This window comes from Homo sapiens, chromosome 5 (genome assembly GCF_000001405.40).
Source record: "Homo sapiens chromosome 5, GRCh38.p14 Primary Assembly".
Taxonomy (NCBI): domain Eukaryota; kingdom Metazoa; phylum Chordata; class Mammalia; order Primates; family Hominidae; genus Homo; species Homo sapiens.
Window position 1 is genome coordinate 156,632,076 of NC_000005.10, and position 25,986 is coordinate 156,658,061.

Genomic DNA, 25,986 nt, shown 5'->3' on the forward strand with positions numbered 1-25,986 from the left:
ATCTTTCTCTCTTGTACAGGTTTCCTTTAGGCAGTTCTTCAGCAGACATTATCTCAGAAGGAGAGACAGAAACACCTTCATTCAGGCAGCCATAGCAATCTTTGAAAATAACTGATTAACCCTGCTTGGGTCACATGCCCCTAGACCAAACACTCTTTCTAAGGAGTCAGATATTCTGATTGGGCAGCCTAGATCACATTCCCTTCTGTATCCTGGGGGTGGGGGAGGGCCAAGTGAGCACCAGCCCCAGTAGGTTTCTGCAAAGCAATAAGTGTTCTAGTATCCGAAGGAAAGCTAAAGGATGTTGAATAGGCAGAGACATTGTAACTATCCCACTTTCCTCCTTTGTCTCATATGCAGATAGGACACCTTATTTTGAAGACCTTTCTTTGGACTTTGTTTCTTGCTAAGTCTGGAAGGCTTGCATTGGTCAGTGAGATGGTTAAATGAAGCTTTATTTTTTATTGACCTGTCTTTTCTTCATAGCTATATTTTCTAAGCCTAGTTATACCAAGCTAGAGTTTGATGCCTGTTATGAAGCATTGGAGAGAAAGGGAAATGGGAACTCAAGACTTACACTTGCCATGGTTTGGGTTTATGTAACAAAGCCAGTGACCTGCAAAGTCTCTACCAGGTTTCAGAGGCCTTCATTCACTGAAGAACTGCCTTCTGAGTGGCATTTTCCCTTCAAAGAGGCCAAGCTCGGTTAAAGCTACTATGGCACGTGTACCTTTAGACCCCATGGAGTGTCAAACATGGGTATATGGAGATGGGGGAGGCATATATGATCATGGAGACATGTGAAATGTTCATTTTTTGCAAGAAACAGAATCCACCCCAGCTAGGTCATGGGAAAACAGAGTATTCATTGCAAGGTTGTGAGAAGACAGTGCAGGAGCAATTTATATACGTTCAGTCAAGCATTATGAGATCTTGCAGCTTCTAGAATCAAGGTGTTCCCTCTGCCTCTCAGGGGCCATGTGACTTCTTTTTTCTCTGATTTGCTTTCTCACATTTTCTCATGGAGATTACACCTCTTGCACATCTTTCAACATGGCTGCCAGCCCCAAACCTATGTTTGGAAGTTAAAAGTGTGAAGTCAGGGACTAGGATTCTCAGTAAGTGTTAGTTATTATTGTCAAGTACCTGTTACTCACTGACGATGTGCACTGTGTTTAGTTTCAGTTCTCAAGCTAGAATCTGATTGGTCAGGTGTAGACAGGTAGCAACTCAAACAGGACTACCTAGGTGGCCCTTTAACAGAAAAGCAGTTGTGAGTAGGATGTGCATAACCGAACTTTATTATTCCATGGTGGTCTTTTCTTGATGAAGAGATTGATGGAATCTGACTCATAACTCCCAAACTCATGATTGAAAAAGTAACATGTTTAGCGGGGAGTTAAGAACATGGCCTCTGCAGCTAGATTTGCCTGTGTTTGGGTCCTGGTCCCCACAATGATGCTCTGTGAAACCTTTCTGTGCTTCAGTTTCTGCTATAATAATATCATGTACTAGGGTTGCAGTGAGCATGAAGTATGTTAACTCACAAAGTGCTTTAAAAAATGTCTGGCAAATAGTAAGCACTCAATACATGTCAGCAGTTGATATGACTTTTATTACCTAAATCTGGCTCTGAGCTCCCACAGTAATCTGCTAGGAAATTCCATCTCCATTATCACTGGGTCGTTCAAGAATTGACAAAGCGTACATGGTGTCAAGAAAACGTGGGCAGGCCTGCTGCTCTTTGGTCAGTTAAGATCATCTCTGATAATTTCATTTCCCTAGCCTGCAGGGTCATTTAAAATGCACTTACTCTCTACTTCCACACCACAGAGAGGGCACAGAAATCTTTGCTGAGGTGTGGGCCAAGGGTACTGTCTTCTAGGGGCATGACACAGCCATCCTTTCTGAGAGATGGTCACCTCCCTAGTGATAACTCTGGTCTTCCAAGGACCCCAGATCTCTAAATTTTTCTAAGTGTTCTGATTCTTCTAAATCTGTCTTCTCTTCAGCTTTCTTCCAAGTCACTCCTCTCTCCTCTCTTCCCCACAGGACAACGAGCCTACTCTCCACTAAGGTTAGGTGTTTACAGATGGCAGGAATAGCTATTGCTTTAAGGCAGTTTCTGCTTTTGACCCAATGAGTACCTTCTGTTATAAAACTCCAATGCGTCACTGGGGCCTGTTGGGGTGGGGTGGGAGGGTGAGCACCAGGAAGAAAAGCTAGTGGATGCTGAGCTTAATTCCTGGGTGATGAGTTGATCTGTGCAGCAAATCACCATGGCACATGTTTGCCTGTGTAACCAACCTGCACATCCTTGCACATCCTGCATATGTATCCTAGAAATTAAAATAAAACTTGAAGAAAAAACAAAGGAAAACAGCAACAACAACAACAACAACAACAAACCTCAGTTGCATTTTGCTGAGTCAGAGAAGCCAGACCCAGAACTCTTATCTACTGAATGATTCTGTTTATATGATTTGATAGAAAACACAAAACCATAGGAGAATGGTGGAAGCCAGGATTTGGGGCTCAGGGGATGGATGGAATACAAAACGGGTAGCATGAGGGAATTTTTGGAGCGATAAAATTGGGCTGTATTTGCTTATTGTGGTAGATACATGACGCATGTATTTGTGAAAACCCACAGATCTATTAATATGCACCACAAAGAGTACATTTTCCTTTATGGAAACAACTAAACAAACATCAAGGATATGCAAAGGGCCTTCCCACCTGCTTGAAATGGAGAGGAGAGGAAAATACAGAAACACAAATTGATGTTTTAAAAAATTACTAAGCCGCAGACAAAGCTAAAGAGATGGGTTATGTCAGATTGTCATATTAAATAGCGGAACTTCCTGGCTGGATGCAGTGGCTCATGCTTGTAATCCCAATGCTTTGACGGCTGAGGTGGGAGGACTGCTTGAGCCCAGAAGTTCAAGACCAGCCTGGGCAACATGGTAAAACCCTCTCTCTACAAAAAAATTTTAAAAATTAACCAGGAATGGTGACATGTCCCGGTAGTCAAGCTACTCAAGAGGCTGAGGTGGGAGGATTGCTTGAGTTCCAGAATTTGAGGCTGCAGTCAGCTGTGATCACACCACTGCACTCAGCCTGGATGACAGACCAAGACCTTGGCCCTAAAAGTTTTTTTAAAAATGGGGCTTTCTGACATTTATGCAGCCAAAAGACACATGAAAAAATGCACATGATCACTGGCCATCAGAGAAATGCAAATCAAAACCACAATGAGATACCATCTGTCACCAGTTAGAATGGCGATCATTAAAAAGTCAGGGAACAACAGATGCTGGAGAGGATGTGGAGAAATGGGATCACTTTTACACTGTTGGTGGGACTGTAAACTAGTTCAACCATTGTGGAAGTCAGTGTGGTGATTCCTCAGGGATCTAGAACTAGAAATACCATTTGACCCAGCCATCCCATTACTGGGTATATACCCAAAGGATTATAAAACATACTGCTGTAAAGACACATGCACACGTATGTTTATTGCAGTACTATTCACAATAGCAAAGACTTGGAACCAAGCCAAATGTCCAACAATGACAGACTGGATTAAGAAAATGTGGCACCTATACACCATGGAATACTATGCAGCCATAAAAAATGATGAGTTCATGTCCTTTGTAAGGACATGGTTGAAGCTGGAAACCATCATTCTCAGCAAACTATCACAAGGACAAAAAACCAAAGACCACATGTTCTCACTCATAGATGGGAATTGAACAATGAGAACACATGGACATAGGAAGGGGAACATCACACATGGGGGCCTGTTGTGGGGTGGGGGGAGGCGGGAGGGATAGCATTAGGAGGTATACCTAATGTTAAATGACGAGTTAATGGGTGCAGCACACCAACATGGCACATGTATACATATGTAACAAACCTGCCGGTTGTGCACATGTACCCTAAAACTTAAAGTGTAATAAAAAAAAAATGGGGCTTTCTGTTGCAGGACACAGGGACTCATCAAAGGTTGTAAACCCAGCCAAAAATCTGTCACACTGGGCTTTGGGCAGTTGATTTGACTGCACTAAACTGGAGTGATTACAGGAGAAAATGAAGCTGGTAGAAAGCTATTTCACTGAGACCATTTAACTACAGGCTTACTCGTTTACTTACTTACTACTTACTGGAAAAGAAGTTATCCAGTATTGCAGTGGTATAGCTGATACTAACAGCTCATATGTCTCCCCTACAGAAGCTTCTTTTTCATTCTTCAGTTTTTCTGGCTTAAGTAAAATAGAATTCAAAATATCTGAGTTCCTGCTGCTTGTCTAGAAAAGTACAAAGACTCCCATAACAGGGTCCTTGGCTTTAAGTAGCTTATTTTGTGGAGAAGTGGAGAAAGCAAGACATAGTCAATGAAGACAATAAAATACATGCTCATCCAAGACATAAGTTAGGTATTATGGAAGCACAACACAGGGAGCAATTGGTGATAACTGAAGGGAAACCAGGGAAGGCTTCATGATGGAAGTGGCATTTGACCTGGGCCTTATAGGATTTGATGCACTATGGGGAACAAAAGGAAAGGAAAAGTACTTTCTGGCTGAGAACACTGTAAGCAAAGGCAAGGACATGGGAAAACCCAGCCCCACTCAGCAGTCAGTGAAAGGTACCTCAGTACATGAGAGCAAAATGTCCAGCTAAATAATCACTAAAAAGTGATTTTTAAATTTTGGTCAACTGGCTTACTACTGCCTAAAAGCTTTAAGTGAAGAACATGGCCATATGGAAATGTCAGTTTACTTCTCTTTCCTTCATCTTGGATAGAATGGTATTAAACTTTAGGCAGATTGAGCAACAAAATTCTCTTAAGGGGTCTCAAATAAATAATAAGTAGGGACTGTTTTTTCTCCCATAAAAGTAAGGTGATATGGTTTGGCTGTGTCCCTAGCCAAATCTCATCTTGAATTGTAGTTCCCATAATCACCACCTGCTGTGGGAGGGACCCAGGGGGAGGTAATTGAATCATGAGGGCAGTTAACTCCATGCTATTCTTGTGATAGTGAGTTCTCATGACATCTGATGGTTTTTTAAGGGGCTTTTCCCCATTTTGCTCAGCACTTCTCTCTCCTGCCACCATGTGAAGAAGGACATATTTGCATCCCCCTCCACCATGATTGTAAGTTTCCTGAGTCCTCCCCCAAGCCATGCTGAACCATGAGTCAATTAAACCTCTTTCCTTTATAAATTACCCGATCTTGGGTATGTCTTTATTAGCAGCATGAGAACAGACTAATTACATAAGGCCAATGGTAGACAGTTGCTGGCAGCTTCATGGTATCTGAGTGAACATATCTGAAGTCCCCTTGGTCTTTTTCTCATGGTCAGAAGATGAGATGACTCAGGCAGCTCCAGATATCATGCTGATATTCAGATAAAAACACTGAAACTAGCCACATCCTTACCCTCTTGTGGACAGTAAAACTTTCTCAGTGCTCCTCCCCAGTAGACAGCTACCTACATCTCTTTGAACAAAGTCATGTCATATGTCCACCCCTAGCTTCAAGGGAGTCTGGGAAAGTATTTAGCTGGACATTTTGCTCCCATAAATAATACTAGGATTTTCTTGGCCAGGGGAAAGGGGGAAATGGTTGTTGACAAGGAAATGACATGCTGGCCATACTGGGGATGAAGTCAGTGGACAAGGTAAAAAATTACATAATCAAAATTATCTATAAATCACCTATAAAGCATGCTCATTTTAAAGCTTTCGTAACAGGACTGTATTCCGAAATTAAATCATTTAAGTGTTTTAATGCTTTGAAACCTTCAATTCTTTGTCCAGATTTCTACTTGCTGGTTCTTAATTTTCAGGTCATCATCATCTTCATCTCTCGTAAATGATTTTGTAAGTTTCTCCAATTATTTTTTAGACAGTGTTTCTCTGTGGTCCTCAATTAATGTTTCAATTTCTTTCACCATAGGAAGGCATCACCACCCACTTGCCTGGCCACAGGAACAGCGTGTTCTACTTTTTCAAAGACCAGGAAATTCTTAAAATCATACACTTTTTTTTTTTTTATTTTACATCTCACTGGTATCCATTGACCATGTGAGTCTTGATTGCTGTCACACTGTGAGAGACACTTGAGAACTGAAATCTCCACTGAGGACACAGCGTATCATGGCTCCCATCTCACCCTCACTCCCAGGTGGAAGGGCAGGCAGAATCAATGTTCTTTTTAACTTGATCACATTGTTCATATTTATTCTCTCCCTCTCCCTCTACACTACTGGCCTGATTCTGGCCACCTGTCCCACTGAGGTCTGGAGGGGAGATATGGATGGAGAGCCACATTCACCTCATTCTTAGGACACACAGTGCATCATCTTTGAGAACCAGGGGGTCACCCTTGAGCACGGCTCTCTCATGATGATGTCAAGCAGCCTTCTCAGCTTATCGCTGATGCTTTGTTTGCCTATACTATCCTTACCTAGAGGCTGCCTTGTTCCAGAATTTTCCATTAGTGTTAAACACAACCAGTGAGTTGAAATTGTTTGTTATACTGTGCAGTTTTATTTACTATCAAAAACGATGTACTCATAAGAAACTGAAATGAAGTTGCTTGCTGCTTGGATGGTTCCTTTTGTTTTTTTTCAAGTTTTGGCTTAATGATACACTGAGCATGAGTTCCGGTCTATTGGTTTCCAGAGTAGAGTTTGCTTAATTAAACTACTTGTCTCTTCATATCTTGCCAGGATGTTTTTATACGTGAATCTTAAATTGCCCTGCAGTTTCAAATTCTACACAATGTTTAAAATGTGTACTTTGATGGTATTGCCAGTTCAGTTAAATTGTTAGAGTTTTCAAAAGAGAATGTCTTATTTTATCATTCTCCATTGTTAACCTTCAAATTATTGAATGATACTCATTTATCTTTCTGGCTTTACTGTCTATTCTTGTCTTCATCACTATCTTTTATCATAATAAAATATATCTACCATCTATTTTGATATGCCAGACATGTATAGCATTTTATGATATATTACACTTTAATATATATGTAATATATCTCATATATACATATGTGTATATGTGTATGTGTATATGTATGTGTGTGTATATACACACATATATAGTCACTAATCCTCACAATAGGTTTATGAGAGAAGTACTACTATTATTCCCATTTCACAAATAAGGAAACTGAAGCTAGAAGAAGCAAATTAACTTGTCCAGTATCATATTCCTCTTCACAGTCTTCATGGAGAACCCTGAACTTTAACACTCTGTTTTCAGCATTCACATGTGTCAAAATTCCCAGCCTAGATGAACCCAAACATCCACATTATGTATGCCTGTGTTCAGGCAACTGAACACATGCACCTCTGTGCAGCCTGTGCCACGCAGCAGGCTGGTGCCTATATAAAAGTGTGGTTACTAACCACCGCTAGGCCTTCGGTATCTGGTACCCAATATCCAATACCCAGCTACCTCATGGTATTTCTCTTGTCAAAAGGTTGTAACTCTTGCTATATTCATTTCTTCACCTTTTGCCTATTCTTGTGCCCACAACAGTCTGCCTTCAGCTTTTGATAGAATGTCTCTTGAGATGTGTCTTCCATGTTGCCAAATTCAGTAGACTTTTCTATTCCTCTCCTTAATTTCCAGCACTGTTTAACACAGATAAACTGTTCCCTCCTTCTTGAAATACATACTTCTTTCTCTTGGCTTCTGTGTTACCCCATTCCTGGTCTTCTTTCTACCTCTATTCTCATGTTTTTTTTTTCATTTTCCTTTGATGGCTCATCCTTCCATACTCAAAATTTAAATGTTGGAGTCCCTTAAAATTCTGACATTGGCTCTCCTTTTACTTTTACATTACTCTAACCATTGCTTGGATCATATCACCCTTCTCTTAGTGTCCACACTTATCTACCTGCCAGTGACTCCCAGTAATAGCACTTCCCCAGCAAAGCCTTCGCAGGTCCTCTGATGCTAGGCTAGCCCCTCTGCTCAGTGTTCCATCAGCTTCTTGTACTACTTCATAGCATTTACAACAGTTTCTCAGTCCTTTTTCCAATAGTGCTCTTCTGAGGAATTTTTCTTCAGGCTTTTTTCTTTTTCTTAATCACACCCCTCCCATGAAATCTTACTATCATAGATATACTAGATATCCGTTTATGTACTATGTGAAGTGTGCATTTATATAGCTGTTTATATATCTATATATTGCTATACATCTCTAGATATATATATACATTTGTGCTTTATACATAAATACAGTAAGATTTCTTTTGCTTCCCAAGAACCAGTTTTTGCCCCCTTGAAGATAACATCACCCCCATTGAAAATGCATGATTTACAATATCTGTTATTTTTAAAAATGGATTTAAATATTTTTTGCAATATCCACCTGTGTTGCTACAATAAAACTTATTAAGAGCAAAGATTATCTTCTTACTGAACATTGCCTCAGCATTGTGCCATTCACATAATAGGTACTTGTTAACTATTTATAGACAACAAATATTACAACAGGCAGAATGGCTGTAGATTTTATGTGCATTTTTAAATTTTTTTCTTAACTTGCAATTCCTAAATAAGAAAGCCAGAGCCTATTTTCCCCCACAAAATCATGTCTGACGTAGGCTCTACATAAATATTTGTTGAATGAATTAATTTTATCTGTACTTTTTGGATAAGAAGAATCTGTCCTGATTCCTAAAAAGAAAATATTTGGTATGTATCCTAGAAACTATTTGTAATGACTACAGATGTTTTGCATTAGAAGTTTATTAAATGCCAGCAGCAGCCTGGGGAGACACAATGGGATTAAATCACCTCAAGTGACTATTTCTACTGAAAGTTACTTTCTAGCATCTGTGTATTGTTCATGTCTGGGAAGATTTTCAGAAGCTGACAGCCACCTTCCCTGTGCTTAATCCTGACACTTGTGGAAACTCTGCATCCTCGTTGATCACTCAGTTCATTTTAAATCTTTGGTTAAACATAACGCAACTCATTTCCTTAAAAAGAATTTTTCACTGCCTATTACTTTTAGGAGAAGGCCACAAATTCATGTTAGGAATTAAATACAAAAATCTCTGTTTCTAAGGCATTTCCTGTGGTTAGTTGTCCCATAACTCACTCTTCTACAACTAACATATGTGCTGTAGAGAAGACTGGTTTGTAGGAAAATGGGTCTCAGATATTAAAGAGTATTTAAATATCAGATTGTAGCCATGTTTACTAGCCTGGACTTACAGAGACAAAAACTATATCTCACATATGTTGGAAATCTTTAAACAGTGGGAGCTACATGAAGATACCTTTAGCTAAAACTTTGGAGTAACCAGAAAATTATCTTGCACAGAAGATAGTGTTCATTACTCAAAGAATTATTAGTTTATTCATAATTTTTCAAAAATATTCCTGGTAAATATCATGGGAGATTAAACTTTCATTGTCATGGTTCTTGCTCCTTCCTAAGAAAAATATAGTTGGATTCAGAGCAGCTTCCTTTATTAAGTAAAGGCAATTTCTATTGTGACTTAAATATCAAATACTAAAAAAGCTGGATATTATTTGTGGAGTATAAAGTTTTAATGGGCATGGCTGGCTTTGAGCATTAATCACTTGGCTTTGACTGTCTATTTCATCTCCTCCCGTGGGCCCTGTGATCATCCTTCAGTCTGCTTGTCCAGCACATCACCAGATCCCATTAGTTTTTCTCTTAAATATTTCCTCAGCCATCCACTCTTCTCTATGCTTACTACCAATCATATGATCCCATCTACCACCATCTCTCTCCTGGCTTCTCTTTATTCACCCTTGCCTTCCTTAAGTGTCTTTTCCATGACATAATGTCTCAGTCATTCTGGGCTGCTATAGCAGATACTACAGACTGGATGCCTTAAAAAACAGAAATTTATTTTTTACAGTTCTGGAGGCTGGGGAGTCTGAGATCAGGGTGTCAGCATGGTCAGGTTTGGTGGGGTCCTTCATGTTGGCTTGCAGACATCCATCATCTTACTGTATCTTCACATGGTGGAGAAAGAGCACTAGTCTTTTTCTCTTCTTCTGAGGATGCTAATCCCATCATGGGCACTCTACCCTGATGACCTCATCTAAACCTAATTATTTCCCAAACGCCCCACCTCCTAATACCATCACATTGATGGCTAGGGTTTCAACATCTGAATTTTGGGGGGACACAAACAAGTAATCCATAACATGCAGCTACAGTGATCTTTGGAAAATGCCAGGTTGATCAAGTCAGATCCCCTGCTTAAAACCTTCACTGTGGCCTCTGAGGCTCTGCAATCCCTGAGCCAAACTTTCTCTCTAGTCTCACCACATGATATTCATCTTTTGCTAAGAATGGCCTAGCAGCATCAGTCTTTTTTTTTTTTTTTTTTTTTTTTCCAAGACGGAGTCTTGTTCTGTCTCCCAGGCTAGAGGGCAGTGATGGGATCTCGACTCCCTGCAATTCCAACTCCCGGGTTCAAGCAATTCTCCTGCCTCAGCCTCCCAAGTAGTTGAGATTACAGGCTCATGCCACCACACCTGGCTAATTTTTGTATTTTTAGTAGCGACAAGGTTTCATCATGTTGGCCAGGGTGGTCTCAAACTCCTGACGTCATGATCCGCCTGCCTCAGCCTCCCAAAGTAATGGGATTACAGGTGTGAGCCACTGCGCCTGGCCCAGTCTTCTTTATTAATGGGAATTTCCCAACTGTGAAGCGTTTCCATAGTCTTTTCTACTGCTACATTCAGCTCTTGACTACTTCAGTTCTAATTATTTTTCAAATATCAGCAAAACTTCACTTCTTTAGGAAACTTATCTGCCAAACCAGGTTGTGACTTCAAGTTTTATACTTTCAAAGACATGTTTCTTTTCTTTATCACTACTATATATTTTCATTTCTGAGATTAATTACTAGGTTTTTTGGGGGGTTTTTTGTTTTTTTTTTTGTTTGTTTTTTTTTGAAACGGAGTTTCACCCTTGTTGCCCAGGCTGGAGTGCAAAGGTGTGATCTTGGCTCACTGCAACCTCCACCTCCCGAGTTCAAGGGATTCTCCTGCCTCAGCCTCCCGAGTAGCTGGGATTACAGGAATGCACCACCACGCCCGGCTAATTTTGTATTTTCAGTAGAGATGGGATTTCTCCATGTTGGTCAGGCTGGTTTCGAACTCCTGACCTCAGGTGATCCGCCCACCTTGGCCTTCCAAAATGCTGGGATTACAGGTGTGAGCCACCTCGCCCAGCCAATTACTAGTTGTTTAAACCAATTAGTGTACACTAGTGGAGGATACTATATTATACCGTGAGCTTCTTACCTCTTTGCTTCACCACTACAGCCTCCTGCTTGATACAGATTTATTAAGTTAATTGAACTTTGGGTTCACCAACATACTGTGCTCCTCTTCTGGTACACAGAGTTTATCTGATCAGTTATATCTAGAAAATAATAAAATAACAGGAGCGGAAGAAACCTTAAAGATTATGTAATCCACCCAAATGGAGAAATAATACTAAAGGGAAAATTGTCAAAGGCCATGCAATGCATCTGCAAAATTAGAACCGAAAATCAGGTTTTTGGTTTCTCAGTATTTGGGTGTTTCAAGAAACAAAATTATTTTTCTTCCATTTTCTTATCACCATTCTCTAGATTGACTTCCTTTCTCCATTTTATAATCTAATATGGGTATAAAACTATATCCTTATCTTGTCAAGTAAAATATCATTGTTATTAAAGTTATCATTCAGGTTATATATACCCAAGCAATGTGAAGTAGAAAACTGACGTTTTTACCTCAAACCTTATTCATCAGATATTTTAACTCTGCCTTTTGAATCTATTGAACATTTTGCCCCAAGGTTTAAACCCAACGATGATTTTTAGTTCATATTCATTAATACAAAAGCACTAATCATAATTATATCAATATTAATCATGTTCATCAGGAAAAAATTTACCAAAGCAAACTCTGTTAAGCTAGTTTAAATTCTTAAACAATTTTCTAAAGAGTACACTTAAGTAATTTCTGATTTTTAAAAGAACGCTTCTTGAAATTCTTACTTTTGAGATCAGTTCTTCATGTACAAGAAGTGATTCATCATAAATTTTCTTTATCAAATTTCACGGATGCTATTTGCTGTCCTAGTAATTTTTGTGTCTAGTGTTTCTCCCAAATCCAATTTTTGTGTGTCACATTTTGCAAATCTGTATTTTTCTTTCAGTATTTAGTCCACAGCAATTTTAACATGTATATAGTTTTAGGTAATTAGTCATTTTTCATAAAATTTAATTTTCTCAGGTCAGTCTTTGGAGTTTTAAAGAATTACGCGTTTTTAGGGCTTTGATGTTTTAGTTAAGTTTCATTTTTGCTCTCTGCCATTTTATCTATTACGAGATTTATTTTCTGGTTATTATTTCTACCTATTAAATGCAGTTTAAATTGGATAAAAGTCTGTTCCTTTTTTTTTTTCCTTAAACACTGAGAAAATGTTTCGCAATTTCCTTTCATAGTACAGGATTATTTTTTCTTCTCATTAGAAAAAAGAGGTTGCTAAAGGCAGTTATCTGCTTAGATAAGATTGTACACCTCATAAAATTTTAGATTTGGGGTTAACAGTTTAACTCTGATGCTTATCCCTCATTTAATAATTGGGGAAATCCAAAACCAGAGATTTTTATCTGACTTGCCTAAGAGCATAGAGATAGGACTAGATTTCAGGTCTCTTGACATCTGGGACACTTTGAGTCAAAAGTATGACAAAACTGAGATCTGGACTTGAATATCCTTTCTGGAGAGGAGAAGCTGGTTTTTTATTACTTATGGCAGTGGAGTGCATTTGAGATTTTTTTTTTTTTTTTACAAGTTTACTCCCTACCTGTGCTAGGAGGGAAAAGAGCCCTTGAGCTCATCTTTATGGTGATTCAGAACACTTTAGATAGATCCTGTCACATGCTTTATAAGTTCCTGATTGATTCTATGGAATTAAGTTATTGGGCAGAGAACCAGCTAATGGAAACACATTGATGAAATCATTTTTGAGAGACATTAAATTGAACTTAAAATAAAGCTGAAATGGCTTTATGGATTTTTCACTCAAACTGTTTATGAACATTTATTGCCAGTAAATTATATTGTGTCAAAAGAGGGAATCAGTAGGTATGGTTTTAATAGAAACCTTTTTGAAATAATAAAATTGAGAATAATTCATTATCTGAGAAAACAGAGAGAGGATGGGATGGGGAAATTCATCCTGAAGGATGTTTGTCTACTCTGGAGCTTCTGGGAAAGTAAACAATGGTGTGAAAATCAGAAACCTGATAGCACTTGGAAAGAAATGGCCTTTTTGAAGAGTATTAATATCTCATCTCATTATAGATGTGAATTGTTTTGAGAAGAAAGGTGATTGAGGATTTAGCAAGCATTACTTGATGGTATAAACATTGATATTTGCTCATAGCTCATAAAAAGATGAGCATGTAAAGGAGGGACTTAATCTGCTAAGGGAGATAGTCTAGAGGAGTGATCAAAGGCATCAGTTTTAGAACAGAAAGATTAGAGTTCAAATCCCACCCCTCCGACCCCTTACTCAGTCACCCCTCCCACTTCCACCTAGTTGTGTGACCATAGGAAAAATTTCCTGACTTCCCTGAGCCTCAAAGATACTAATAGTCTCCACTTCATAGGGTTATTCTGGTGATCAAATGAAAAACTAGAATATCCAGTACTGTTTCTAGTTCATAGAAAATGCTTTAAAAATGTTATTTTTGAAAAAGTCATGGAAGATCTGGATAAGAAGGATGAATAAGAATCATAAACATTATATAATATTACTGCTGGTTGCTTTGTGCCAGAGATCTCATTCAGCCTTCCAAGATTCCTGGGAGATAAAGGTACTATCAACACACTTTCTTTTGAGAGAGGGAAACTGAATATCACAGAAGTTGAACTTCATGCCCAAGGTCACTCAGCTAATGAGTGGCTTTGAAATCTTCCCCTAAGAAGTCTTATCAATGAGTTTGTCCTCCAGTATGTGGAACATATGGACCCCCACTGGCCAAAGCCCAGCAAGAACATAATCAAAGGGTATTTGGTTGGACAATGGGAGCTGAGTGAGTGGGAGTTGAGGGAGCATGAGCATCTTGTTCTTCACTTCCTTTCTACATCCAAAGCCTGTCAATCATTTGCCACCGCTGCCTGTCAGAACCTATCTCCCTAGATTTTGCTGGCTTGCCATTCAGTGGGCACCAGCTTAGCCTGGCATTGAGAAAGCAATAATTTAATACTCCCATAGAAGCATCAGTACCATTTGGAAATGAGTCTAGTAGAAGCCTTCGGAACCTAAAGTCAACCTGGCTATATCCCATATAAGACCTTGTCCCTGCCTACACAGAGCTTAAGATCTGGATGACAGAACACCACACCATTCAAAAGCATGTTCTTTGTTGAATATAATGGAGCATTTCTAGATGTTATAACAATGTAAGAGGATTACAAAAATTCACACATGGAAGTAAGATATTCTCCCCTCCTTACAGCATCAAAGTGCACCAAATGTATAAAAAAGAAACACCTTTACTTCAAAGTACAGGATACTGCCTCAGCTAAGTTTAATTGAAAAACTAATATCTTGTGCAATTGTCTGTGAAAAACTGAGGCTTAAATGATTTGAAAACACTTTGGGAGCAGACAAATCAGATAATTGCTATCTTTATGGCTGCAAATTTCGACTGGTGTTGACAAGTTGTAAAGATAAAAGCTTATAGCACAGTCAAGAGCTAAATGTCTAGATTGGGTTTGGGATCAATGTTAATACTCAAAGTGTAAAAGCTCTGAACTTCAAATGATCTCTTATAGTGTTCTATTTTGCTTAACTTTTCAAGATAATAATGTAGAACTTTATTTACTGAAAAACTTTTGCTAGTCATTAGGCAAATACTTCACTGTTCTACCATCTAACCCACTGCGTAGATGTCATATGTGTTATGTGATTTGTGCCATGCATTGCAATAAGAGAGCTTTGGTTGCTGTTTTTCAAAACATTTCCGGTTGGGTGACTATTAATAGTTTCTGAGAGACAAGAGTCAGACCTTACCATTTCTAGGCATCTTTTCCTTTCTGAAGCCGAGATGGAATTTGCCTCATGGCCTCACTCTGATCTCAGCAAGAATGCTTTCAAAAGAAGTTCCTTGTTTTTCAAAGGCTGTTTGCATGAGTGATTCAATGCTTTCCTATCATGGAGCTCTAAAGCCAGTGGAAAAATATGTGGGTATGGGGTTGTGTAATGGATTCGCTGCATTTAGCTCCAATCAGTGTGCTGATTGTGCCTACAGGTGACTCCAGTATCTCCAATCTCTGTTTGCTTTTCTGTTTTGTTTACAGGAGCGGAGGGCACAGTGTTCCCTAAATCTATAGAAACACCTAATGTCAGGGCAGACCCCTTCAAAGAACTAAGGTAAACTTCTGACTTTGGTTTGCATTGATTAATGGCTATTGCCTTGCTCTGTGCAACTGGCCAGTGATTCATTCTGAATAAATAATAAGTGTCACAGCGTGAATACATAAATTGAAAGAGGTTGGAGAGAACCAGAAGATAAGCTACAACCAAAAGAAAATTTTCTATGAGAACTTAAAATTGAGGATCTGGATGGGGTAAAAGGTTGCCCACTTTGTGAAATCTAGATTCATTCATTTGGAATGTTTGTTATGTGCTGTATTTTGTGGTACCCAAAACCTATCCAGTTAGAGAACTAGTTGGTAATTGGTGCTGATCAGCCCAAAGAAAAATGATATCTAAAAGAAGATGAAGTCTAAATACAATACGATGTCTTATTATGCAACAAGCTCTCTATTACTTGGGGTGGTATGGTACTAGAAAGAACCCCCTTCTGCAGATGTTCCAGGTGCTGATGTTAATCTTCAAATATTCATAAATGTGCTGCCTTAGCAGAGGATGACTCTGAGATGCTATGTACTCACCACCAGCAACTAAGGAAAACACAAAAGAACAGACAGATGGATAAACAGACAGAGAGCCTGAAAACCATTCCAGCCACCAAACAACCATGCCCCTGTCCCTCCCGCCAAAATGTATTTAAAATGGTACGTTGAAACAAATAGAACTATTCTTTCTATTGCTTCAAGTTATTCATCATAACTGTGATGAATTCAGTGAATACTGGCTTTTTTTTTTCATTTCTGGTAGTTCTTTTACCTAAAAGCAATCATAAATCGCCATATATGGCACTGAATAACTGTTTCATGATAGACACCAACCATAGGCACATGTACTTGCATTGCACAAATCATATCTACTCTTTCCTGATGCAATCTGAAGATCTATGCTTTGCTTAAAAAGCAAGAGCCATATTGGACCTAGTGTTTCTTTTAACAGAAGCACATTCTCAGTAAGTGGAAAATGTATCACCTCATTATAAAACCCATAGCATTTTTTGCAAAGCCTATAAGTCTGGATGGCTGTAAGGAAATAAATTGGGCCAAAGGAAGAGGATAGTTGGTGGAGAATGAGAATCTTTTCATAACAAAATCCCACATAGAGTGGGCTGTATTTTTAAGATTACACATCACACCACAAGGTTCTACTTTTTACTAGCATAACTATCTTCAGCAGAGCTTCCACATGCCTGAACTTACCTGATTTTCTGTTAGCTAGTTCCTATGTTTCATATAAGGTACTGAAGCTAGAATCTTTTAAGCAAATACGTCTGAGAAAACCTGCTTTTTAGGACTCTATGAGAAAGAGTTATTGCCTGAGAGTGCAGTGAACCTTCGTGTCTGTGATGGAAGAGGTCTTTTGAGACAAGCTAATCAGTGGCCTGGTTCCCATTCTTTTCACAGTCCTCTGTAGAAGCACGTTTCTTACAGAACTAGTCAGTAATTAGTGATGATTAGCCCCAAGAAAAAGTGCTGTCTAAAAGAAGCAGGACTCCCATCAACAAATGGGCGAAGGATATGAACAGATAATTCTCAAAAGAAGACATTTATGCAGCCAGAAGACACATGAAAAAGTGCTCATCATCACTGGCCATCAGAGAAATGCAAATCAAAACCACAATGAGATACCATCTCACACCAGTTAGAGTGGCGATCATTAAAAAGTCAGGGAACAACAGATGCTGGAGAGGATGTGGAGAAATAGGAACACTTTTACAGTGTTGGTGGGATTGTAAGCTATTTCAACCATTGTGGAAGTCAGTGTGGCGATTCCTCAGGGATCTAGAACTGGAAATACCATTTGACCCAGCCATCCCATTACTGGGTATATACCCAAAGGATTATAAATCATGCTGCTATAAAGACACATGCACACATATATTTATTGCAGCACTATTCATAATAGCAAAGACTTGGAACCAAGCCAAATGTCCAACAATGATAGACTGGATTAAGAAAATGTGGTACATATACACCATGGAATACTATGCAGCCATAAAAAATGATGAGTTCATGTCCTTTGTAGGGACATGGATGAAACTGGAAACCATCATTCTCAGCAAACTATCACAAGGTCAAAAAACCAAACACCGCATGTTCTCACTCATAGGTGGGAATTGAACAATGAGATCACATGGACACAGGAAGGGGAACATCACACACGGGGGCCTGTTGTGGGGTGGGGGGAGAGGGGAGGGATAGCATTAGGAGATATACCTAATGTTAAATGACGAGTTAATGGGTGCAGCACACCAACATGGCACATGTATACATATGTAACAAACCTGCACGTTGTGCACATGTACCCTAAAATTTGAAGTATAATAATAATTTTTTTTTTAAAAAGCAGGACTCTAAATACAGTACAGATATTTTTTCTATGGAACAAAGCTTTTCATTACCTGGGAGATTTGGGAAATATAAGAGGAAAGGAGATAGGCTGTCTTGGCTTTAAGCGGTAAAGTAAATCTTCTGTACTTAAAAACAAACCCAACCCAAACCAATGAAACAAAAAGACAACTCTCCAAGCATTAGCCCACTCTAGAGATGCATAGCCTGAAGAACATGGAGCAGAGTATTTGCACATGTTATGCTGAGACATAATCGTAGTGTTTGTTACACAACTTATAAACAACCCTGAAACTTACCTTTAAAAAGTTAAACCTCCACAATTTACAAGTAAATCTCCTAAGTCCAGTGCAACAAAATAAATAAATACTTTGTGTAGTTGGTTTATTTACTGTGCTTCTTCAAAAGTTATAGGTATGTCCCACAGAGGCTAGAAAGCATGAATTTTTTTTAATAATTTCAACTTTCATTTTAGATTCAGGGATACACACGCAGGTTTGTTACATGAGTATGTTGCATGATGCTGAGGTTTGGAGTACGAATGATCCGTCACCCAGGTAGTAAGAGTAATACCCAATAGGTAGTTTTTCAGCCCTTTGTCTTTTCTCTCTCCTCATCTACTAGTCCCTCAGTGTCTTTTGTTCCCATCTTCATATTCATGTGTATCCAGTGCTCAGCTCCCACTTATTAGTGAAAATGTGCAGTATTTGGTTTTCTGTTCCTGTGTTAACTTAAGATAATGGCCTTCAGTTATATTCATGTTGCTGCAGAGGACATGATTTTGTTAGTTTTTTATGGCTTTGTAGTGTTCTATGGTATATATGTACCACATTTTCTTTCTCCAATCCATCATTGACAGATACCTAGGTTGATTTTTGTGTCTTAGTGTTGTATATTGCAATGAATATACAAGTGCCTATGTCATTTTGATAGAACAATTTATTTCCCTTTGGGTATATACCCAGTAATGGGATTGCTCGGTCAGTTAGTAATTGCGTTGTCAGTTCTTTGAGACATCTCCAAATAATGGCTGAACTAATTTACATTCCCACCAGCGGTGTATAAGTGTTCCTTTACTCCACAGTCTCACCAACATCTGTTGTTTCTTGACTTTTTAATAATAGTCATTCTGACTGATGTGAGATAGTATCTCATTGTGATTTTGATTTGTGGTGTGCAGCATTTTTCATGTTTTTTGGCCATGTGTATGCCTTCTTTTGAGAAGTGTCCTTTTATTTCTTTTGCCCACTTTTTAATGGGGTTGTTTTTTGCTTGTTGAATTAAGTTCCTTATAGATAACATATCTTTGTCAGATATTAGACCTTTGTTGGGTGCATAGTTTGATAATATTTTCTTCCATTTTGTAGACTGTTTATCCTGTTGATAGTTTCTTTTGCTGTGCAGAACCTCTTTAGTTTAAGGAGGTCCCTCTTGTCAATTTTGGTTTTGATGCAATTGCTTTTGAGGACTTAGTCATAAACTCTTTCCCAAGGCCTATGTCCAGAATAGTATTTCTGAGGTTTTCATCTAGAATTCTTATAGTTTGAGGTCTTCTATTTAAATATTTAATCCATCTTTAGTTAATTCTTAAATATAGGGAAAGGTAGGAGTCCAGTTTTATTCTTCTGCATGTGATTAGCCAGATATCCCAGCACCATTTATTGAATAGGGAATCCTTTCCACATGCTTATTTTTGTTGACTTTGTCAAAGATTAAATAGCTATAGGTATGAGACTATTTCTGGTTTCTCTATTCTGTTCCATTGGTCTACATGTCTATTTCTCTATGAATCCCATGCTGTTTTAGTTACTGTAGCCTTAAAGTACACTTTGAAGCTGAGTAATGTGATAGCTCTGGAGTTTTTCTTTTTGCTTAGGATTGCTTTGGGCTCTTTTTTGGTTCCATATGAATTTTAGAATTTTTTTTTTCTAATTCTGTGAAAAAATAACATTGGTAGTTTTTAGATTACATTGGGCAGTAAGACCATTTTAACAATATTGATTCTTTCATTGATTGATTCCATGAGCATGGAATGTTTTCCCATTTGTTGTGTCAACTATGATTTGTTTCAGTTGTGTTTTATAGTTCTCCTTGTAGAGATCTTCTTCTTCCTTGGTTAGATGTATTCCTAGTTATTTTATTTTTTGTGTGGGGTTGCTTTCTTGATTTGGCTCTCAGCATGAATATTACTCGTGTATAGAAATGCTATTGATTTTTGTACAATGATTTTATTTATCTTTATTGAAGTCATTTCAGTCCTAGGAGCCTTTTGGTAGAGTCTTTAGGGTTTTCTAGCTATAGAATCATATTGTTGGACTGGGTGTGGTGGCTTACACCTGTAATCCCAATGTTTTGGGAGGCCAAGGCTGGAGGATCACTTGAGCCCAGGAGTCTGAGACAAGCCTGGACAACATAGTGAAACCCTGTCTCTACCAAAAGAAAAAAAAAGTTAATAGCCAGATGTGGTAGTGATGCATGTCTACAGTCCCAGCTGCTTGGGATGCTAAGGCATGAGGATGGCTTGAGCCCAGGAATTTGAGGTTGCAGTTAGCTGTGATCACACCACTGCTCTCTAGCCTGGTGGCAGAGCAGGACCCTATCTTTCTCTCTCTCATATACACACATACACACACACATACACAGAATCATATTGTTAACCAAGAGAGATAATTTGACTTCTTTTCTTTTTATTTATTTCTCTTGCCTGATTGCTGCGGCAAAGACTTCAGTACTGTGTTGAATAGAAGTGATAAAAGTAGGCATCCTTGCCTCATTCCACTTCTTGAGGGGAATGTTTCCAGCTTTTGCCCATTCAGTATGATGTTGGCTGTGTGTTTGTCACAGATGGCTCTTATATTTGGGGGGTATGTTCTTTTGATGCCTAGTTTTTTGGGTTTTTTTTGAGGGTTTTTCTCATACAGGGATGTTGGATTTTATTGAATGCTTTTTCTATATCTCTTGAGATGATCATATGGTTTTTGTTTTTCATTCTGTTTATACGATGGATCACATTTATTGATTTGCATATGTTGAACTATCCTTGCATCCCAGGAATAAAGGCTATTTAATCATGGTAAATTAACTTTTTGATGTGCTGTGGGATTTTGTCTGCTAGTATTTTTTTGAGGATTTTTGCATGTGTGTTCATCAGGGATATTAACCTGCAGATTTCTTTTTTGTTTTGTCTTTGTGAGGTTTTGATATTCGGGTGATGCTGGCTTCCTAGAACAAATTAAGGAGGAGTCCTTCCTCCTCGGTTTTTTGGAATAATTTCAGTAGAATTGGTAACAGCTCTTCTTTGTACATCTGGTAGAATTTGGCTGTGAATCCATCTGGCCTGGGGCTTTTTTTGTTAATAGGTTTTTATTACTGATTCAGTTTCAGAACTTGATATTCATTCTTTTCGGGGTTTCAACTTCTTCCTGATTCAACCTTGGGAGGTTGTGTATTTCCATGAATTTATCCATTTCCTCTAGATTTCCTAGTTTGTGTGCATAGAGGTGTTCATAATAGTCTTTGAGGATCTTTTGTATTTCTGTGGGGTAGCTTGTAATGTCACCTTTGTCATGAAAACATAAAAATATTTTCTTACGTAATTCTAAAGCTTGCTTTTTTTTTTTTTTTGCCCCTGTTGTTCAAACTGTGGTAGCCCGGACTGAGTCAGGGACCTAGAATGTCATAATCTACCTCCTTCATCCTTTTGAAATTTTTTAAAATGGTGTTTTATAGGAGTATCTCTGACCAATTGAAAAGATGACCAATTATTGATAGATTAGCCCAGACCAGTGTGTCTGTGAATGTTTTATATTTGTCATTTCATGGTGCCACATATTACTCCATGCTATTGATTGCTATTGACCTTGGATATTGTGTAAATTGTTAATGAACTTGGTGACTGACTCTTCTGGTCTCTGACTTTAGCACTGGGCCAGTCTTACTTGGCCACATTCACACTGCTATGTCTTCTAGATTTAAGAAAATAGAGTAATTTAAGTGAGGTTCCTGGACTTGTACTAGCAAACAGAGCTAGACAGACTCTTGAGGTGAAGCAAAAGTGGTCCATTCTTCAGTGGTAGCAAAATGGAGGGAAAAGAGCACTGTGCTAAGAGTTGGGCGCCTAATGCCAACCCACTGTAGGGGCCAAGGGAAAGCTTCCCTTTCACTATCTGCAGATTCACTAAAAATCAACTGACAGCAGGCAGATTGATGGCAGAAAAGGCATAATAAAAATTTTACTTTAATATGTATAGCACAAGGGGATTATAGGAGAACAATTACCCAATAACCCAATGAGGTACAGATGCTTATATGCCTTTCTTCACAGGGGAGGGGAGATGAGGAAAATGTAGCACTTGTGGAGTAGTAAATGATTTTAGGGCAAAATAAATGGACCTGGGGAACATAGAATGGTCTGGGAGAAAGTTTGTTGGGCCTGCAGAGCAGATAATGTCTGCCAAATGATTCTCTTTGGAATACTGAATGGGACTGAAACAGAAAACAGTGGTTTGTGACAGAAATTGGTCCAGGTGTGTTGCCATACTTAGGTCTTTCTTCCTTCAGTATGAGTCATTAATAAAAACTCAGGGAAGGAACCAATGGTAATTGTTTTTTTCTTTCCTTTGGGGGGGTCCAAACTTTAGGCAGATAAGGGAACTTCAGAAAATAGCTTCTTCCAGACTCTCTGCTGGTCTCCAAAGGCCTTAAATTTAAAATAGCAAGCCAGGGTGTCATATTTTGAGGTATTAGTTTCTGAGTCCTAATATCCCTATGTGGCCTTGAGCTAATTGTGGAGCCCTGCTGTCTGTGAAAAGGCAGGGCACTTCTAGCTCTAAACAGCTAATCCTGTTATATTATTTTGACTCTTGGTTTCAAAATAATTTTAAAGTTAAAAAAGAGTTATAAAATTTATACAGATAATTCTCATCTGCCTTCACCTAATTTTCTCCAAAGTTAACATCTTACATATCTGTGGTATAGTTACCACAACTAAGAAATTAACATTGTAGTCCTGTAATATCATGCTTTACATGAGATTTATTTCAAGGAATGAAATCACCTGAATAACTTATAGATTTAAAAATATGTAAAAAGGACTTTAACAGAAAAGCTATTTGTTAAGAGGTGAATTTATAGATCTTTAAAATTCTCACTGCAGTTAAGTTGGAATGTTATTTTTGAGGGTTTTTTTTCTTTAATATTCTATACCCAGATTTTCTTGGTCTTACTTGTCAATAATGGAAAACAAATGGATTCAAAAGACCACAACTTATTTAGACACAGACTGTCTTTTAAAATAGACAAGCAGAAACTTAAATATACATGTTCCTTACCTAATCAAACATGAGAAAATTACATCTATTTCAAAACGCTTCTCCATTGAGTAACATTTGTTTTCCTCAAACCTCTGTCTTGGCTGCTAGAGGTTTTCTGTTTGTTCTTATTTTGTTGTTGTTTGCTTGTTTGTTAACGAAAACCAGATTTAAGGCCTCTGGCATTTCTTCCTAGAAGATGTCAGTTAAAGGAGAGGTAGCTTCCTCTTTGCTACAGTTTTGGTTCATTGCCTTTTTTTGGTTTGTTTTCAGAGTTACTATATTTACTGTATTTGCAGTCTTTGGTTAAGATGCTTGTAAATAATCCAGAGTTGAGCTCAAATTTTCAAAAAAACAAAATGCTTTTCTCCAGACAAATAATGAGTGTTACAAAGGTCTATGCCAAATATCCATCTCAAGTAATGTTTATTGACTTTATTCTTGCAAGGTAATTCTGAAGTAAAGATACTTTGTTCTGGATTCCAGACTATACTTGAAATTATACCAGGCACTGTAACCATCCCTTGAAATAAGAAAAATTCATCTTGAATTGAAATCGTATTTTAATAAATTCATGATCTTAAACTATGAATATCTTAAATGTTCACTTATTCACTGTTTTTTTTTCCCTCCTGAAGTCTATATAAAGACAAATGGAAAAATCACTGATCTCAGGCTGTTCATGATCTGAAACAGGAAATAGGCCATTCAGTTTTGCATATGTATTTTCCATAGGAACAGAGGCTTCCTTTGAATGCCTTCCTTGCTCTAAAGATTCCTTTCAACTGTAAAGTTTCCTTGTAGGATTCTGATCCTACGAGAATAGGAAGTAGACGGTAAAATCTTCTTTCTCAGGTACATGCCACGGCAAATGTTAAAAAAGAGAGAAAGTTATATAGACTACCCAAAGCTTGGAGGGAACCATGAAATATCAAGTCAAAATGTCTTTATAAAAGAATTCTTCATGTTCACAGTCAGCTAATATGCTGATGTGCTCTTACGTTACATAAAATTATTTAAATAAAGTAATTTTTAAAAACCCACTTGGAATGCAGAGATAAAATGAAAACTCAAATAATTGATAGTTAAAGGGAATACAACAGAAATGTCACCGCCCAATACAATACCGTGTGATAATTAATATGGAGATATGAACCAAGCCAGAGAATAATGGAGAATTACAAAATCTACTTAGAAGCGTTTAGGTAAAGTTGCCCAAAGGAGATGGCGTTTTGATTGAAAGAAGAGAGAAGAGAGAAAAGGTAAAAACCAACAAATAGGTCTTATAATTCAAAAGGAATGGTTCTCTGGGGCCATTTAGCATGGGAGCAAACAGCCCAACATATTTCTGTAACTCCTCAAAATGTTACTGGGTATTTACAAAAATTGATTTTTGTAATGTAATTTTCCTCATAACAATTGTATTCTTTAAAAAATTGTATGATGGCAATTTCAGATATGGTTGCAGGAAACTTTAAAGATTGTTACAAATTTTAAAAATCAGTGCACTACTTAATTTAGAACTAAAAATTTCACTAATCTCAAATCTATTGAAAAGAGCTTGAAATAAATAAGGTATTACTCTGTTACTGTTTATTTTTCCCCATAATGCTACCAGGTTTTAATGACAAAGCAGAAAGATTCTACGATACATCTATTACTCCCACTATTATGCACTTGAACATCCTGTAGGGTTTCTTTTTGTTGTTGTTGTTTTGTTTTGTTTTAATAGAAACATAGTAAATCTGAACTCCTTTGGGAATGTGTGAGATTTAAAGTCTGTGTGTATCATTGGGAAACAAGGATTAGACAAGGCTTGCACAAGTTGACAAAAATGAATTTATTTCTTTAATTTTATGTTAGGATGTCTATAACCAACTAAATATTTATAGGCTTTCTGTGATTTATAAATTTAAACTATCAAAACAGTCTATTAGAGCCTTAGGGGTGAATTAATTAGAGGCTTGGTAATTCTCCGCACACCACTGACAGTTACAGTACCAAAATATTGGATAAATAGTCTGACTTTTTTTTTTTCCTCTCTCTTTTATTTTATTTTATTATTATTATACATTAAGTTTTAGGGTACATGTGCACAATGTGCAGGTTTGTTACATATGTATACATGTGCCATGTTGGTGTGCTGCACCCATTAACTGGTCATTTAGCATTAGGTATATCTCCTAATGCTATCCCTCCCCCCTCCCCCCACCCCACAGTAGTCCCCGGAGTGTGATGTTCCCCTTCCTGTGTCCATGTGTTCTCATTAAAAACATACAGGTTGAGGCCAGGTGTGGGGTGGCTCATGCCTATGATCCCAGCACTTTGGGAGGCTGAGGCAGGAGGATCACCTGAGCTCAGGAGTTCCAGATCAGCCTGGCCACCATGGTGAAACCCCATCTCTACTAAAAATACAAAAATTAGCTGGGTGTGGTGGTGCATGCCGGTAATCCCAGCTAGTTGGGAGGCTGAGGCAGGAGAATCACTTGAACTAGGAGGCGGAGGTTGCAGTTGTAGGGGTGGGTTGCCCCTACACACCTGTGGGTGTTTCTCGTAAGGTGGGACGAGAGATTTGGAAAAGAAAAAGACACAGAGACAAAGTATAGAGAAAGAAATAAGGGGACCCGGGGAACCAGCGTTCAGCATATGGAGGATCCCGCCAGCCTCTGAGTTCCCTTAGTATTTATTGATCATCTGTGGGTGTTTCTCAAAGAGGGGGATGTGTCAGGGTCACAAGACAATTGTGGGGAGAGGGTCAGCAGACAAACACGTGAACAAAGGTCTTGGCATCATAGACAATGTAAAGGATTAAGTGCTGTGCTTTTGGATATGCATACACATAAACATCTCAATGCTTTACAAAGCAGT

General features: G+C 38.2%; 1 protein-coding gene across 9 annotated transcripts in view, besides 1 other annotated feature; it reads left to right on the forward strand.

Moving 5' to 3' along the window:
• The window catches only part of SGCD (sarcoglycan delta), a 1,039,957-nt gene that overhangs the window by 904,244 nt on the left and 109,727 nt on the right, over nt 1-25,986 (forward strand). For 8 of the 9 annotated variants that reach the window (XM_047417519.1, XM_047417518.1, XM_017009724.2 and 5 more), the window contains one exon: nt 15,389-15,461. The exons of the other annotated variant lie outside the window; for it this stretch is intronic. In XM_047417519.1, the coding sequence (XP_047273475.1) occupies nt 15,389-15,461 (73 nt within the window). The remainder of the gene's footprint in view (nt 1-15,388; nt 15,462-25,986) is intronic. 9 annotated transcript variants of the gene reach the window in all.
• Nucleotides 23,582-24,111: an enhancer, noted in NCBI's record as "OCT4-NANOG hESC enhancer chr5:156082668-156083197 (GRCh37/hg19 assembly coordinates)". NCBI's record gives its function as "activates a minimal SCP1, AML or CMV promoter by ChIP-STARR-seq in primed H9 embryonic stem cells {active_cell/tissue: H9 hESC(primed)}" and the evidence as "EXISTENCE:reporter gene assay evidence [ECO:0000049][PMID:30033119]".